At 35.4% G+C, this 17,018-nt stretch overlaps 1 protein-coding gene and 1 long non-coding RNA gene across 15 annotated transcripts in view; one reads left to right on the forward strand and one right to left on the reverse strand.

Moving 5' to 3' along the window:
- Positions 1–17,018, reverse strand: part of LINGO2 (leucine rich repeat and Ig domain containing 2) — a 1,275,985-nt gene that overhangs the window by 605,094 nt on the left and 653,873 nt on the right. The gene's annotated exons all lie outside the window — the stretch shown is intronic.
- The window catches only part of LOC105376004 (uncharacterized), a 57,191-nt gene that overhangs the window by 2,972 nt on the left and 37,201 nt on the right, over positions 1–17,018 (forward strand). The window contains exon 2 of the long non-coding RNA XR_001746641.2: positions 9,807–9,879. This is a non-coding gene — a long non-coding RNA (uncharacterized LOC105376004). The remainder of the gene's footprint in view (positions 1–9,806; positions 9,880–17,018) is intronic.

Raw genomic sequence — 17,018 nt, forward strand, 5'->3', positions numbered from 1 at the left:
GGAACTTGTAGAAAATACAGATGTTTAGTTGTGATTTCCATGGATCGTGATTCATGAGAGCAGTGATGTGTTCAGGGATTCCACGTTAGTATCCTGGTTATGCTGAGGTGAGTGAAACAGTGCATGAACCACACTTGGAGAACAACATGCCTAAAGCTTCAGTAAACTCTGTTACATGCCACACTCCCGTAATTCAGGGTCTGAAAGAAGAGGATGTCTAGGAATGGGCAGAAAGGAGCAGAACACGACGTGTAGGGCACAGAAAACAACAAGGAAAAGCACCAGAGGAGATCAGGCTTCAGTGACAAATATGGTAAAACATGTCCTTTGCCAAATGCACTAGACGATCTGGGAGCAGGCATTTCTAAAACACAAATAATGGGCAAAATGACGTATTTAGTACTTCAGGAAATAGCAATTGCATATAAAGACAGTAGGGAATATGAGACTTCAAAATCACCCAAATGTCTTTAGCAGATTTAACAAGCCTCTGACTTTCCCACTTACAAGTTGATCAGTCCAATAAATGTCTATTTAAACTTATGTTTTACTTAGCTTATAACCAAATTCTCATAAATTTCCTTTATACCTTAATGTAGAATAGCATATCTCTGGAACCAAGAGAAAGTTTTAAGGTCTACTTGTTACCCCTTTTTCAATGGCTTTAAAATATTTTATTCATAATTAGAAAGACAGTTCTGGATTATCAAGCGCAAGATCTCTTCATTTACGCCTTGTGAATAAGTTTGACACATTTATGTAGAGCACTGAATAATTTAGTGAACTGAGACCACTTGGGACTGAGCAACACTCGTATTTGGACTGCCTCAGAATTTTTATGAATTTTGAGTTTAAGCCCAGAAACAGTGACAAAAAAGTGTTAACAAAAAAAGGTATATGAATGTATAAAAAAATCTCCTTACTTTTTCTATATTTAGTGTGGGTCTACATGCTTTTTAAATAACCCTGAACACAAAACACTTAAGAATGCTTGAAAGATTGTAGAACATTCATTTTAAATAAAACATATTTCCTTGCTTTTAATCAATCTAAAAGTAGGTGTTGCTTCATTAATTTCAAACACATTAGGTATTAGAATGTGAAAGGAGGGGGTTAGAAGGCACCTGATGACATACTTAAGTTTAATAAGATCTTGATTGTGATGTTAAATCATAAAAACAAGCAATTATGAATCTAACAAAAAGTATTTTAGGCTGGACACAGTGGCTCACACCTGTAATACCAGCACTTTGGAAGGCCGAGGCAAGCGGATCACTTGAGGTCAGGAGTTTGAGACCAACCTGGCCAACATGGCAAAACCCTGTCTACTAAAAATACAAAAATTAGCTGGGCATGCTGGCGTCTACCTGTAGTCCCAGCTGCTCTGGAAGCTGAGGCACAAGTATCATTTGAACCCGGAAGGCAGAGGTTGCAGTGAACCAAAATCAAGCCACTGCACTCCAGTCTGGGCGACAGGAATAAAAACCAATCTCAAAAAAAAATACAAATAAAAAACAAAAATAAATAATAATTGCTCAAACTATAATGGCATAATTTTGAAGACCTCATTTTTATGGAATAGAGTTGCCAGTTCTGTAATCTGAGACTTCATAAATTAAAAACTACTGTATCTGGAAATCATACCTGTAATGCAGTGACAGCTCTCTTGACTTTCACTTAGTTGGTGCTGGTTAACAGTATCTTTTCCCTGGCCTTTGTAACCCACACTGACTGATATACCAGGTACACCGAACCCTCTCTGTTGTTGATTACTCACTCATGTTCATGACTTCTGTTGATCAATGAGGCCTTCAATCAACAAAAACAATTGCATTTGCAAAGGACCTACCATGGAGTCCAGAGTGGGCATTCCCACCCATGTTAGTATCTTTCTCTTTCTTTCTCTCTGTTAAAAAGTCAGAAGCTGTTACAACAAGAAGAATAGCAAAATGCATTACTAGCATCATATTAAAAATGCCATAAGGCAATATATGTGAGTACACTGAATATAAAAATAAAAATAAAATACTATTATATGATATTATGTTATATATTATATTATATACTCTACTATATTCTATTATTATAATAAGAAAGCACAACAAACAAAGAATACCTAAAATATAAAATTAGGAATTCCATGGGTCTCTTGTTTTTGAATTGGGGGAACTTAAACGGTCATCTAATCTCAATCCTTTTAATTGCCAAATTAGAAAACGGACTCAGAGGAGTTAATATCTATAGATTACTTATTTTGGAAGAGGTACTATGTTAATTATGTTATATATATTCTTTATAGTCATTGTCAAAGCAACCCTAAAACAATTATTATTTGCATTTGAGAATTATTCTCTGCACTTTACAGATGAGCAAGGGAGGCTTGCTAAGGGTTTTTAGCTGCAGAGATTAAAATCACTTCTAACTTACACCCAAACTCACTTTTTCCTGCCTTACATCATATTGTATAAAGGGACCGATAAGGATTTTAACTGAACTGAGGGGAGGCAGACAAGGTAGTGATTCATTTATGTTAGCTTTAATTAAGAAGAGTTCCATGATAAACCCAAAGACTTTAGAGGCCAGTCAGGAGACCTAAATATGTGAAGGAGTAATGATTACTAAAGAGCATTGTGAATTTCTACCTAAAGACATTTCTGTTCAATTTTTAAAATATGAACTGGCCCAATTAAAATATATCTGCTGGATGGTTACCCATTTGCAACTTATGAAAGAGAGCAAAGGTAAGGGATCTGCAAAAATAAGTCTGGAAAACATCCTAGGCTTGGGATGGAGGCACTATAATATATGGGAAGGTACAATAAACAGATGAACAATTAAAGAATCAGGGGCTGGCTGGTCTTAACCATATCAAAGAAGTATGTATTTAGTTATTCCATATATATAGGGAGGGCAGACTTGGTAGTACAAGTGAAAGGAGAGGAAAAAGAGGGGGGGAACTTTTAGTGGTCCTTAGGTGCTAGCCTGGGTATTTGTATTTTATTAGAATGAAGAAAGGACCCACTTAGAAATATGCCAAATACTTCCCTATTGTATTCTAGGTATACTTACTGTATATTGTGCCTTTGGAAAAGCCTTTACATTTTACAGATTGGTTCACTAATATTTATTGAAGATAAATAACTTCCTCAATGTCATAAGGTAGAAAGTGGGTGAGTAAACTTTTAAATTGTATCTGTCTGGTTCCTGAAAGAATCCACACAACATTATACCATACAGTTTTCTGTAGAAAATACTCACTTTTATATTCTATGTCACTACTACTCTAAGTATTCTTCACATATTAGCTAATTTTATCTTCATAAGGCACAGAAAGACAAATACTTCATGATCTCACTTATATGTGGACTCTAAAGAAGTTGAACCAGTGGTACTCTTTACCAAGAGTAAAATATGCTGATAAATTAAGGGAGGTGTGAAAAAGAAAAAAGGCCTTTAGATCGATTAGTTTTCTTTTAATATAAATAGGTTTTGGTAGTGTAGGGGTAGACAGACAGGACAGCTTTCCTCACCCATCATAAGGATCATAGCTGACACTACTATAGCAAAAGGCAGGTTAATAAGAGAAGAGCATTAAAAAAATATTTAATCAGTTCTATGTGACATGGGAGCCTTCAGCAATGTAGACCAAATTAGGTTAGATGAAGGATAAACAGCCATGCAAAAATGTGATTGGACAAAAAGGGAATGATCTAATGGTAATAGACTGAGTGAGGGAACTCAGCAAGGCTTGTTTGTTCAGATTCTTCTTAAACTCTCTGTGTAGTATTTTTCTCCTGAGTATAGGGCAGGACCCATTCTGAAATGAGGGTCTTATGATCTATTATTAGACAAGCTGGGTCAAACAATTTCATTACAGCCAGCTCCTACACAGAAAGGTGGAAAAAGGTTAAAGTAATATTTCTAGGTTTTATGGCTGGCTTTTGGGGAAAGTAGTTCTGGAATTCTAGTTTCTGTGGCCTGCCTTGAGGGAGAAAAGGGAGCAGGAGAAAGAAGGGCAAGAGAATGTCAGAAAGAGACTCTGTTTCTGACACCCTTCTGAGACCCTTCCAATGTCCTTCAGTTCAAACTACTCAGCATTCCAAAATGCCACACTCTGGGGTATCATTTTCTGAACCCCAATAGTAGATCAGTTAAATTAGAGAAGTAGAATGATAATGAGGACAAATCTCTGTGACCGAACTCTCAAAGTCTTTTAACCTTTCCCCTAAGTTGCATTGAAAGTCTTACCCTCTAATTCCCATCAATTATTTCAGAACTGCAGGAAAAATTGACTGGGAAAAGTTGGTGGGACAAATTGAATCCATCAAATAATTCCAAGTGAAATACTAGAAAAAGGAAGGTGGGCATTGTGATCCTGAGACACTAAACATGTCTCCATTTGTTCTATATCAATATTCCACTGCTTTTTGCCAGCATCTGAAGTTACGTTGTTTACCAGCTAGTTTATTTGTGAAATCGAGTATTCTCCCTGTATTACTACTATGTGAAAAGGGTACAAAGCAGGCATACATCTTTTTCTATAACCGTCCTTTCATTTTTTTCACAAGTTTTAGTAGATACATTTACAGAAACCCTTATATGTAAAGAAGTCTTAGTAATGTGATTTAATGAAAACACTTAATTTGGGAAGAGACCCTTTAAAATGTTCCATTTGCATCTCTCTGATATAAATTTCAATATCAAAATTCCATCAACAGCAGGGGAAAAACTGCCATTAACTAGAGATAGCAACTTTGCTCTTAATAGAAACACTAAATTACTGCTCTAAGAGCTAAACTACATATAAAACAACTTTAGTTCTTTAAGAAAGGGTGAGCAACATTTTATTTTCGAAAGGAACATATGTTATTTTCATTTGCCTTAAATGACACATGGAAATTAAGAAGCCTACCATTAAATAGGCAAACGATTTACAAGAAATGAAATACAGTGCTAACAAAAGTTCAAATGGATCTGGTTTCAAGATTTGAAAATGGAATATTACTCATAATAAAAAGGAAAGGAGTAGGAAACTGGGCTTAGTGCCCATTAAGAAGGTAAACTTGAGAATGACAAAAGGCTGAACATATACAGAGTGAATGGTGAATACAAAGCTGAAACCAATGTCTTCATCTGTATTGCCTTTGAAGAAAATAGGGGGAAGAGCATAGGTAAGTTTCTAAGTTGTTATACAAATTTCAGTAAAATAGTCAATATTAGTATTTTATGGTACTTTTGGTTACAAGTAACAAAATCAGACTCTGGCTACCTTATGCCCAAAAGAAAATTTATTAGAAGAAGCTAGAGTATATAACAGAATGCAGTGAAAATCCACCCAAGGAAGCTATGGAAAAGCAGGAACCTGGAGAGCTCACAGATCCTCCCTAGAGATGTTAAGGAAACTTTCCTTTAAGGAACCGTAATAAGCCTGCCAGAGTTTCAAGAAGTTCAAATCCTTTTATCACTCAAATATCAACTTTATATTAAAGTTAGGTGTCCATTCTTTGATCAGCCAAATGCATCTAAGGGACTGTTACGTAGGATAAATGAAGCAACTGGGGCTTACACCTGTTTGAGGGGATATTCCCATAGTAGACAAGGTTTTGAACTGGCATTTCCTACTACACAGTAAACGTAGTTACACTAATGAAAAATAAAAACAAAAGTTGATACCTGAACACCACATTACATTTATCATTCAAGAATTATTTGGGGCCGGGTGTGGTGGCTCATGCCTGTAATCCCAGTACTTTGGGAGGCCGAGACGGGTGGTTCACGAGGGCAAGAGATTGAGGCCATCCTGGCCAACATGGTGAAACCCTGTCTCTACTAAAAATACAAAAATTAGCCAGGTGTGCTGGTAGGCACTTGTAGTCTCAGCTACTCGGGAGGCTGAGGCAGGAAAATCACTTGAATCCAGGAGGCAGAGGTTGCACTGAGCCGAGATTGAGCCACTGCACTCCAGCCTGGCAACAGAGCGAGACTCCATCTCAAAAAAAAAAAAAAAAAAAAAAAAAAAATATTTGATTCTATATAATAGTAACATAGAAGAAAAAATGCAATTGTGTATTAACTACCTCAGGGAGTTACTATAAAAATGTAGACACATGAAGTTGTTACCACTTCGTTTAACAACTTCACCCAAGGGATATTAACTTTATTCTTAAATACATTTATTCATTTTACATATTTATTTTGTATAAATTGGGTAATATTCCAAAAATGTAGAAAAGTTCAGAATATAATAAAACAAATGTCTGCTTTCACTGTATAGATATAATACATATTTTATACTGCAAAACATTAACCTGTACACAGTTCTGAAATATTAACCTGTATACAGTTCTTTCAGATATTATTTTTAATGACATACAATTGCTTCAGATGTAATAAAACCATTATTTTCTCTCTACAGGTTAACTATTTTCCATCATTTTGAATTATTCACACACACCTAGGTAACCATAAACAATACATATCATTGTTGTGTGTGTTTAAATCTTACATAAATATTATCTTACTGTCAGTATCCATCCCCAACTGGTTTTTATGAAGCAACAACATATTTTTCAGTTTGAGTCATGTTAATGAACGCAGTTTTAGTTCATTAATTTAAAATGCTAAACGGAATTTCATTCATCTATATTGATGAATATTGAGGTTGTTTATTTCCTTATTTCTTGCCTGTCTAACTAAAGGAATGATGCAATAAACATTGTGGTAGGGAGCTGACTGAGCATGTGCTCAGTGGTTTACGTAGGGTTTAAAGTTAAAAATGGAATTGTTATTATACAAGACTTGTTCATCTATGCTTTTACTAGATATTTTCTCCAGAATAGTTGTACCAGTTTACAGTTGCAGTAGCAGTGTATGAAAGCTGCCACTGAACTATGTCCTTACCAATAATGGGTATTATCATGTGTAATATTTTAGTATTTTTTTTTACTAATAGTAGTATCTTTTTAAATGATAGTCACAGAATAGTTTTAACATATTCATTGTCTATTTTCCTTTTATCTATTTACCTTTTTCTATTAAAGTATTAATTTTTACATATAACAGATAAATTTTATTTGTCAATTATGGCTATTTCAAACATATTCATCCATTTTGTTTTTTATTTTTTTCTCATACTCTTTAATAGTTCTCGAAAATATCATTTTACCCTCCATTTTTGATAATAATTTAACAGGACATAAAACTAAAAATTGACATTTCTTTTCTGTTAGCAATTTTTAGATGTATTTTAATTATCTTCACAACATCCTGTTGTTAATTAGAATTATTTACTTGAATTGCCATTCATTTTTAGATAATCCTATGATTGCTGTTAAAAGTATCTATCTTTGCATTTTATATTTTAAATTCAATGTGTCTAAATTTGGATTTATTCCTATTTATCCCTCTCAGAAAGCTGTGCATTATTTGAGTACTTGCCTTAAATTCTGGAAAATTACTAAGAATTAAGCATCAATATGCACAGTTCTCATTTTCACTACTTTCTTCTTCTGTAATTCTTATTATTCCAACATACACATGGGATCTTTTCATTCTCTCATTTTATGTGCTATGTTGCTTAACTTCTCATATGTTTTTCCCTTTTTGTTGGTGCTGCATCCTTTATAATTTCTTCAGATTTATCTTTCAAAGTACTGATTCTTTCTTCAGCTTCATCTGATCTTCTGTTTAAATTAACTGAGTTTTATTTTCAATGACTGTATTTTTATTTCTATTAGTTCTATATAATTATTTCCAAGCATGCCTTCTTTTGTCTACTTTTAATTCAATACACTTCTTAAACATATTTATTTTATTATATCTTTCAAATTGTTCTATTATTTCAGTAATTGTCAGGGTGCCATTTCTCCTATTTGCTACATCAACAGACACTCTATGGTAATTTGTTTCTTCTTGGGCTTTGAATTGCTGCTGCAATTGAACTTATCTTTGAATATTAAAAACACTCTGTGAAACAAATTACCATTTAATATTTTTGCTTTCATAAAATAGAATAGTAAACACCAGTGAAAAATAGATGAACTAAAGCTACATGCATCAATGTAAGGAGTCATATAAAATAATGTTTATAAAATTCTTGGTTAAGAAATACATATAGCATGATATAAATTTTAGAAGTTTAAAATATATAATCAATGCTACATATTATTTTGGATTACATATTCCTATGGTGAAAATTTAAATATGTACAAAAGAATGATAAATATCCAAATCAGTAGTTACTTATGAGAGAAAGAAGCAGAAGGAGATCCAGCATGAATACAAATGAGAATACAAATTTTGTAATTGCTTGTAATCTTCAGAGTATATTAACATTCAATATAGTGTTCTCCACACATTTCTGTAGATTAATACATAAAGGCAGTAAAGTCATTGAGTAGCCTCTCTTCCAAATATAAAACAATAAAAAGATAATCATTAAAGCAAGTCTTGTATTAATATTTTAAACTTTAAATAGATTACTAAAATAAAACTAGAATATCTGAAATAGGCCCATCTCTTAGAATTTAGTATAATAAAACCAGAGACTGCCACAGAAAACTAGGCAAATAATCTAATAATTCACAGAACTATAAATGGCCTTGTATCCATCAATCTCTCTGTGAAATATTTTCTACTTATATAAAGTATGTATATTTATTATTACCTACATATATATACGTCTATATCTAAAGATATATAAAGTTAGAAAAAAGGAAACCAAACTATTATTGAAATAGTTTAATAGAGGTAGGGTTTTAGGTGATTTAAAATTTCCAGTGTTCTAAAATAACAATATTTTAAAATTATGTTCTGCTTTTATCCAAATTATATGCTCATGCTTAAAAAGTTATATAATTCAGTGGTTGTACACAAAAGCCACAGACTACTCTTATTACATACTTTTTCCTGCTTCTCAGAGGCAACCACTTTCAAATAGTTTGCATGATTCTATTTTTATTTATATGCAAATTTCTCTGCAATATGATTATATTGCTACTTCTTAATTTATTTGGATGGGGAAGGGATGATTTAGACACTGTATATTGACATTCTATTTTGGAAGATACAAATCAAGCCTTTTTCAACACCACTTTGGCAGACCTTGCTCTCTGACACACGTGTGTCCTCAGCCTCTCATCATTATGTCATATCATGGTTTGGTTGCATATGCAATTTTTACATTGCCATATTGATATAAGCACTATTTACAGGATACACATGTCAGACATTACTTCTACTCTTCCTTTTATAAAAATATTAATCCTTTTTATTTTTTCAGTTTATTGTACGATTTTTAAATTGTGTGGTTTTGTTGCCATTGCTTTCTGTGTTTTAGTAATAATCGCTAACTGTCATTTAATCCTTTGCCCCCATATCCCATATATCACTTTTGTTAATACATGTAAATATACAAGAAATTATAAATTTACCTTGTTAAATCAAGCCCTCCTGATAAATCTCATCCTGCTGCAAATTACCCTGGGTGTTTCTCCAGACCTGCCTACAGCTGTCACCTTGTGATGGGTGATTCCCTCTACCTTTCTTCTAGATTGGATGCCCTATTCCCTAGATTTCTTGTCCTCTTTCTTGGTTTACCAGCTAAAACATCTTCCAGTAACATTAAGAAAATAACTGCACGGGAGATAAAAGTCTTAAATACTTTGTTGCATACTTAGCCATAGAACCCTAGATTATAACTCATACTGTCTCATCAGAATCACGAACACTTGGTCTTATTGTTTACTAGCTTATTTCATATTAATGTTCCCTCCAAAAGCTTAAATATTTCCTTTCTTTGTATCCAGGGTACTGACTTTTCAATGATGTGTCTTAAGATGGATCTATTGCTATTCATAGGACTGGGAACATGGTCACATGGTGAGTCTATTCATTATAAAAGCATATGTCTTTCCATTCTGGGAACTTTTTATGATTTTTTTTTTTCATGAATTCCTATGCTATATTTTCTGTTTTCTCCTTCCGGGATTTCTATGTTTTAAGACGTTGGATTTTCTCTGTGGGTTCCCTAATTTTATTTTATTTTATTTCTATTCTTATTTTTTCCTAATTTCAATCTTAGACATTTTGCTTTTCATTCTGGAACAGCTTTTCAACTTTACCCCCTAAAACTTTCATTGTATTTTTCCATTTACACTATCTTAGTTTCCAACATTAAAAAAAAAAAAATCTGTGTTCTTGTTTTCGAGATGAAGAACCTTTTCTCACATCTTTGAGGATATTAATCCCAGATATTTTGAAGCTTTCTTTTGGTGAAAACTTTTCTCCGAGTTATTGTTTGTTTGTTTTAGTCTCTTTGGTATAACATGCTTTCTTCAAATATCTAATAATCCTTGGGATTCTGCTATAAAAGCAGAGCACCTCTCCTCCTCCAAAGGAACGCAGCTCCTCACCAGCAACGGAACAAAGCTGGATGGAGAATGACTTTGACAAGCTGAGAGAAGAAGGCTTCAGACGATCAAATTACTCTGAGCTAAGGGAGGACATTCAAACCAAAGACAAAGAAGTTGAAAACTTTGAAAAAAATGTAGAAGAATGTGTAACTAGAATAACCAATACAGAGAAGTGCTTAAAGGAGCTGATGGAGCTGAAAACCAAGGCTCGAGAACTACGTGAAGAATGCAGAAGCCTCAGGAGCCGATGTGATCAATTGGAAGAAAGGGTATCAGCAATGGAAGATGAAATGAATGAAATGAAGTGAGAAGGGAAGTTTAGAGAAAAAAGAATAAAAAGAAACGAGCAAAGTCTCCAAGAAATATGGGACTATGTGAAAAGACCAAATCTACGTCTGATTGGTGTACCTGGAAGTGATGGGGAGAATGGAACCAAGTTGGAAAACACTCTGCAGGATATTATCCAGGAGAACTTCCTCAACCTAGCAAGGCAGGCCAACGTTCAGATTCAGGAAATACAGAGAACGCCACAAAGATACTCCTCGAGAAGAGCAACTCCAAGACACATAATTGTCAGATTCACCAAAGTTGAAATGAAGGAAAAAATGTTAAGGGCAGCCAGAGAGAAAGGTCGGGTTACCCTCAAAGGGAAGCCCATCAGACTAACAGCGGATCTCTCGGCAGAAACCCTACAAGCCAGAAGAGACTGGGGGCCGATATTCAACATTCTTGAAGAAAAGAATTTTCGACCCAGAATTTCATATCCAGCCAAACTAAGCTTCATAAGTGAAGGAGAAATAAAATACTTTACAGACAAGCAAATGCTGAGAGATTTTGTCACCACCAGGCCTGCCCTAAAAGAGCTGCTGAAGGAAGCGCTAAACTTAGAAAGGAACAACTGGTACCAGCCGCTGCAAAAGCATGCCAAAATGTAAAGAACATCGAGACTAGGAAGAAACTGCATCAACTAACGAGCAAAATCACCAGCTAACATCATAATGACAGGATCAAATTCACACATAACCATATTAACTTTAAACGTAAATGGACTAAATGCTCCAATTAAAAGACACAGACTGGCAAATTGGATCAAGAGTCAAGACCCATCAGTGTGCTGTATTCAGGAAACCCATCTCACGTGCAGAGACACACATAGGCTCAAAATAAAAGGATGGAGGAAGATCTACCAAGCCAATGGAAAACAAAAAAAGGCAGGGGTTGCAATCCTAGTCTCTGATAAAACTGACTTTAAACCAACAAAGATCAAAAGAGACAAAGAAGGCCATTACATAATGGTAGAGGGATCAATTCAACAAGAAGAGCTAACTATCCTAAATATATATGCACCCAATACAGGAGCACCCAGACTCATAAAGCAAGTCCTGAGTGACCTACAAAGAGACTTAGACTCCCACACATTAATAATGGGAGACTCTAACACCCCACTGTCAACATTAGACAGATCAACGAGACAGAAAGTCAACAAGGATACCCAGGAATTGAACTCAGCTCTGCACCAAGCAGACCTAATAGACATCTACAGAACTCTCCACCCCAAATCAACAGAATATACATTTTTTTCAGCACCACACCACACCTATTCCAAAATTGACCACATACTTGGAAGTAAAGCTCTCCTCAGCAAATGTAAAAGAACAGAAATTATAACAAACAATCTCTCAGACCACAGTGCAAAACTAGAACTCAGGATTAAGAATCTCACTCAAAACCACTCAACTACATGGAAACTGAACAACCTGCTCCTGAATGACTACTGGGTACATAACGAAATGAAGGCAGAAATAAAGATGTTCTTTGAAACCAACGAGAACAAAGACACCACATACCAGAATCTCTGGGACGCATTCAAAGCAGTGTGTAGAGGGAAATTTATAGCACTAAATGCCCACAAGAGAAAGCAGGAAGGATCCAAAATTGACACCCTAACATCACAATTAAAAGAACTAGAAAAGCAAGAGCAAACACATTCAAAAGCTAGCAGAAGGCAAGAAATAACTAAAATCAGAGCAGAACTGAAGGAAATAGAGACACAAAAAACCCTTCAAAAAATCAATGAATCCAGGAGCTGGTTTTTTGAAAGGATCAACAAAATTGATAGACCGCTAGCAAGACTAATAGAGAAAAAAAGAGAGAAGAATCAAATAGACACAATAAAAAATGATAAAGGGGATATCACCACCGATCCCACAGAAATACAAACTACCATCAGAGAATACTACAAACACCTCTATGCAAATAAACTAGAAAATCTAGAAGAAATGGATAAATTCCTTGACACATACACTCTCCCAAGACTAAACCAGGAAGCAGTTGAATCTCTGAATAGACCAATAACAGGATCTGAAATTGTGGCAATAATCAATAGCTTACCAACCAATAAGAGTCCAGGACCAGATGGATTCACAGCCGACTTCTACCAGAGGTACAAGGAGGAACTGGTACCATTCCTTCTGAAACTATTCCAATCAATAGAAAAAGAGGGAATCCTCCCTAACTCATTTTATGAGGCCAGCATCATTCTGATACCAAAGCCGGGCCGAGACACAACCAAAAAAGCGAATTTTAGACCAATATCCTTGATGAACATTGATGCAAAAATCCTCAATAAAATACTGGCAAACTGAATCCAGCAGCACATCAAAAAGCTTATCCACCATGATCAAGTGGGCTTCATCCCTGGGATGCAAGGCTGGTTCAATATAAGCAAATCAATAAATGTAATCCAGCATATAAACAGAACCAAAGACAAAAACCACGATTATCTCAATAGATGCAGAAAAGGCCTTTGACAAAATTCAACAGCCCTTCATGCTAAAAACTCTCAATAAATTAGGTATTGATGGGACATATTTCAAAATAATATGAGCTATCTATGACAAACCGACAGCCAATATCATACTGAATGGGCAAAAACTGGAAGCATTCCCTCTGAAAATGGGCACAAGACAGGGATGCCCTCTCTCACCACTCCTATTCAACATAGTGTTGGAAGTTCTGGCCAGGGCAATTAGGCAGGAGAAGGAAATAAAGGGTATTCAATTAGGAAAAGAGGAAGTCAAATTGTCCCTGTTTGCAGACGACATGATTGTATATCTAGAAAACCCCATAGTCTCAGCCCAAAATCTCCTTAAGCTGATAAGCAACTTCAGCAAAGTCTCAGGATACAAAATCAATGTACAAAATTCACAAGCATTCTTATACACCAACAACAGACAAACAGAGAGCCAAATCATTAGTGAACTCCCACTCACAATTGCTTCAAAGAGAATAAAATACCTAGGAATCCAACTTACAAGGGATGTGAAGGACCTCTTCAAAGAGAACGACAAACCACTGCTCAACGACATAAAAGAGGATACAAACAAATGGAAGAATATTCCATGCTCATGGGTAGGAAGAATCAATATCGTGAAAATGGCCATACTGCCTAAGGTCATTTACAGATTCAATGCCATCCCCATCAAGCTACCAATGACTTTCTTCACAGAATTGGAAAAAACTACTTTAAAGTTCATATGGAACCAAAAAAGAGCCCGCATCTCCAAGTCAATCCTAAGCCAAAAGAACAAAGCTGGAGGCATCACACTACCTGACTTCAAACTATACTACAAGGCTACAGTAACCAAAACAGCATGGTACTGGTACCAAAACAGAGATATAGATCAATGGAACAGAACAGAGCCCTCAGAAATAACACTGCATATCTACAACTATCTGATCTTTGAAAAACCTGAGAAAAACAAGCAATGGGGAAAGGATTGCCTATTTAATAAATGGTGCTGGGAAAACTGGCTAGCCATATGTAGAAAGCTGAAACTAGATCCCTTCCTTACACCTTATACAAAAATCAATTCAAGATGGATTAAAGACTTAAACGTTAGACCTAAAACCATAAAAACCCTAGAAGAAAACCTAGGCATTACCATTCAGGACATAGGCATGGGCAAGGACTTCATGTCTAAAACACCAAAAGCAATGGCAACAAAGACAAAATTGACAAATGGGATCTAATTAAACTGAAGAGCTTCTGCACAGCAAAAGAAATTACCATCAGAGTGAACAGGCAACCTACAAAATGGGAGAAAATTTTCACAACCTACTCATCTGACAAAGGGCTAATATCCAGAATCTACAATGAACTCCAACAAATTTACAAGAAAAAAACAAACAACCCCATCAAAAAGTGGGCAAAGGACATGAACAGACACTTCTTAAAAGAAGACATTTATGCAGCCAACAGACACATGAAAAAATGCTCATCATCACTGGCCATCAGAGAAATGCAAATCAAAACCACAATGAGATACCATCTCACACCAGTTAGAATGGCGATCATTAAAAAGTCAGAAAACGACAGGTGCTGGAGAGGATGTGGAGAAATAGGAACACTTTTACACTGTTGGTGCGACTGTAAACTAGTTCAACCATTGTGGAAGTCAGTGTGGCGATTCCTCAGGGATCTAGAACTAGAAATACCATTTGACCCAGCCATCCCATTACTGGGTATATACCCAAAGGACTATAAATCATGCTGCTATAAAGACACATGCACATGTATGTTTATTGCGGCATTATTCACAATAGCAAAGACTTGGAACCAACCCAAATGTCCAAAATGATAGACTGGATTAAGAAAATGTGGCACATATACACCATGGAATACTATGCAGCCATAAAAAATAATGAGTTCATGTCCTTTGTAGGGACATGGATGAAGCTGGAAACCATCATTCTCAGCAAACTATCGCAAGGACAAAAAACCAAACACCACGTATTCTCACTCATATGTGGGAATTGAACAATGAGATCACATGGACACAGGAAGGGGAACATCACACTCTGGGGACTGTGGTGGGGTGGGGGGAGGGGGGAGGGATAGCATTGGGAGATATACCTAATGCTAGATGACGAGTTAGTGGGTGCAGCACACCAGCATGGCACATGTATATGTATGTAACTAAGCTGCACAATGTGCACATGTACCCTAAAACTTAAAGTATAATAAAAATAAAAATAGAATAAAACCAAAAAAAAAAAACAATGGGTCTGTTGAACCCATTTTTCACTATGATCTAGCTGATTTCGTTCTACTTAAGGGTTTTCTGCTGCCATTTTTGTTAGGTCTTTTCTCTTGAGTAAGACATATTCCCTACAGAAGATTCATACATTTTCCTGCTCGGATGAAACTTGGCTGCCTGGGTTCTGCTGTAGATCTCAATAAGAGGGGAGAGTCAGGCAGGGTGAAGTGTTTCAGCGTTTAGTATGCATATTCCTCCTTTCAGTTTTGTATTCCTATCCTGTGTCCACGTGTCCTCCAGGCCAGAGAACCTGTTTTATCCTCTTTGGGGAATAAAGTTCTTCTTTTCTAGTAGGGGGAGTGAAGAGTAGTAGCCTTATTTTGAAGAACAGGAAAAGCAACACAGAAGTCTAACTGTTCAAGAGACTCCAAACTACTTTTATGGTATTTAGCCATAATTTCATCTCTTTTGGCAAAAGTCCCTGGTGGGACAAATCTTAAATTTTACAAAAGAGTATCGTAATGAACACTGGGGGGCTTTTTAACTTTCTGCACTGTCATTTTAGCAGAAAGAAAGAAAGAAAAAAGCTGAATCTTACTTACCTAGTTTCCAGCTTCAAAAATGTTTCATTTGTGATCTTTCAATTTTGCTTTTGAGCTCGTGTGTGTGTTTAATTACTCTTACTGGTCTATTGCATCCTTAGAAGTGGTATTCCCAAAAAAAGAATCTATATAAATAAAAACCTATTTGATGATGATTTGAATAGGAAACCATGCCCCAAATAAAGAGATTTAGAGAAAAAAGTAGTATATTTGCCAAATCTCTTAAGTAACCATGCTTTGGTTTCTTATTTATTGAAAGAAAAGTTCAGGTCCACTATTAAATATAAGAATTGATAATAATGACTAGGATGTTTACTTCTTCAGGATGCATATACATTCAATTTGCAATCAAATAAATTCTAAAAACTGTCATCAAGTAAATATTCAGACACTGTCAGCACTTTATTGGAAGAGTTGTGAGTATTTGATCTTGCAGATTACTAATACTCTCCAGAGAGGGACTTTTCATGTTTTCAGTTTTCAATTTACAACTGTGGGTCAAAGTCAACACCTTTTGTGTCTTCATCTGAAAATGTCTCAGATCTTTATTCTGAAATGTCTTCAAATTGCTGCTTGAGAATATATGTCCCATTTCACCCAGGAGAATGTTTCCCTCTGTTAGAAACAATGCATTTTGTTTTGTCTCTCTCCAGTGGCCTCATGTATAGAATTTCAAACATAATAGGTCATTGCACATGCATTTTATTGCCTGTAAGTCTTACAGCTTGTAGTATGCTCTTCCAACCTCAGGTTCCAAGATCCTACAGTACATGGCCACTGACGGCCTTTGGTATATGACTGTGTAATAATGGAATCTATTTTCTTGACCAAACACTGTGTAATAGCTTTTATTATTTTCTTTCAACCCATGTAACTTACATAAGAAATACAATCAAAATTCTCTTTTTTTCACAAGTTACAAAGTTTTTATGTCAGTCTTGTGTCCTTTTCTCCATTTTTCTGTT

Source organism: Homo sapiens, chromosome 9 (assembly GCF_000001405.40).
Source record: "Homo sapiens chromosome 9, GRCh38.p14 Primary Assembly".
NCBI lineage: Eukaryota > Metazoa > Chordata > Mammalia > Primates > Hominidae > Homo > Homo sapiens.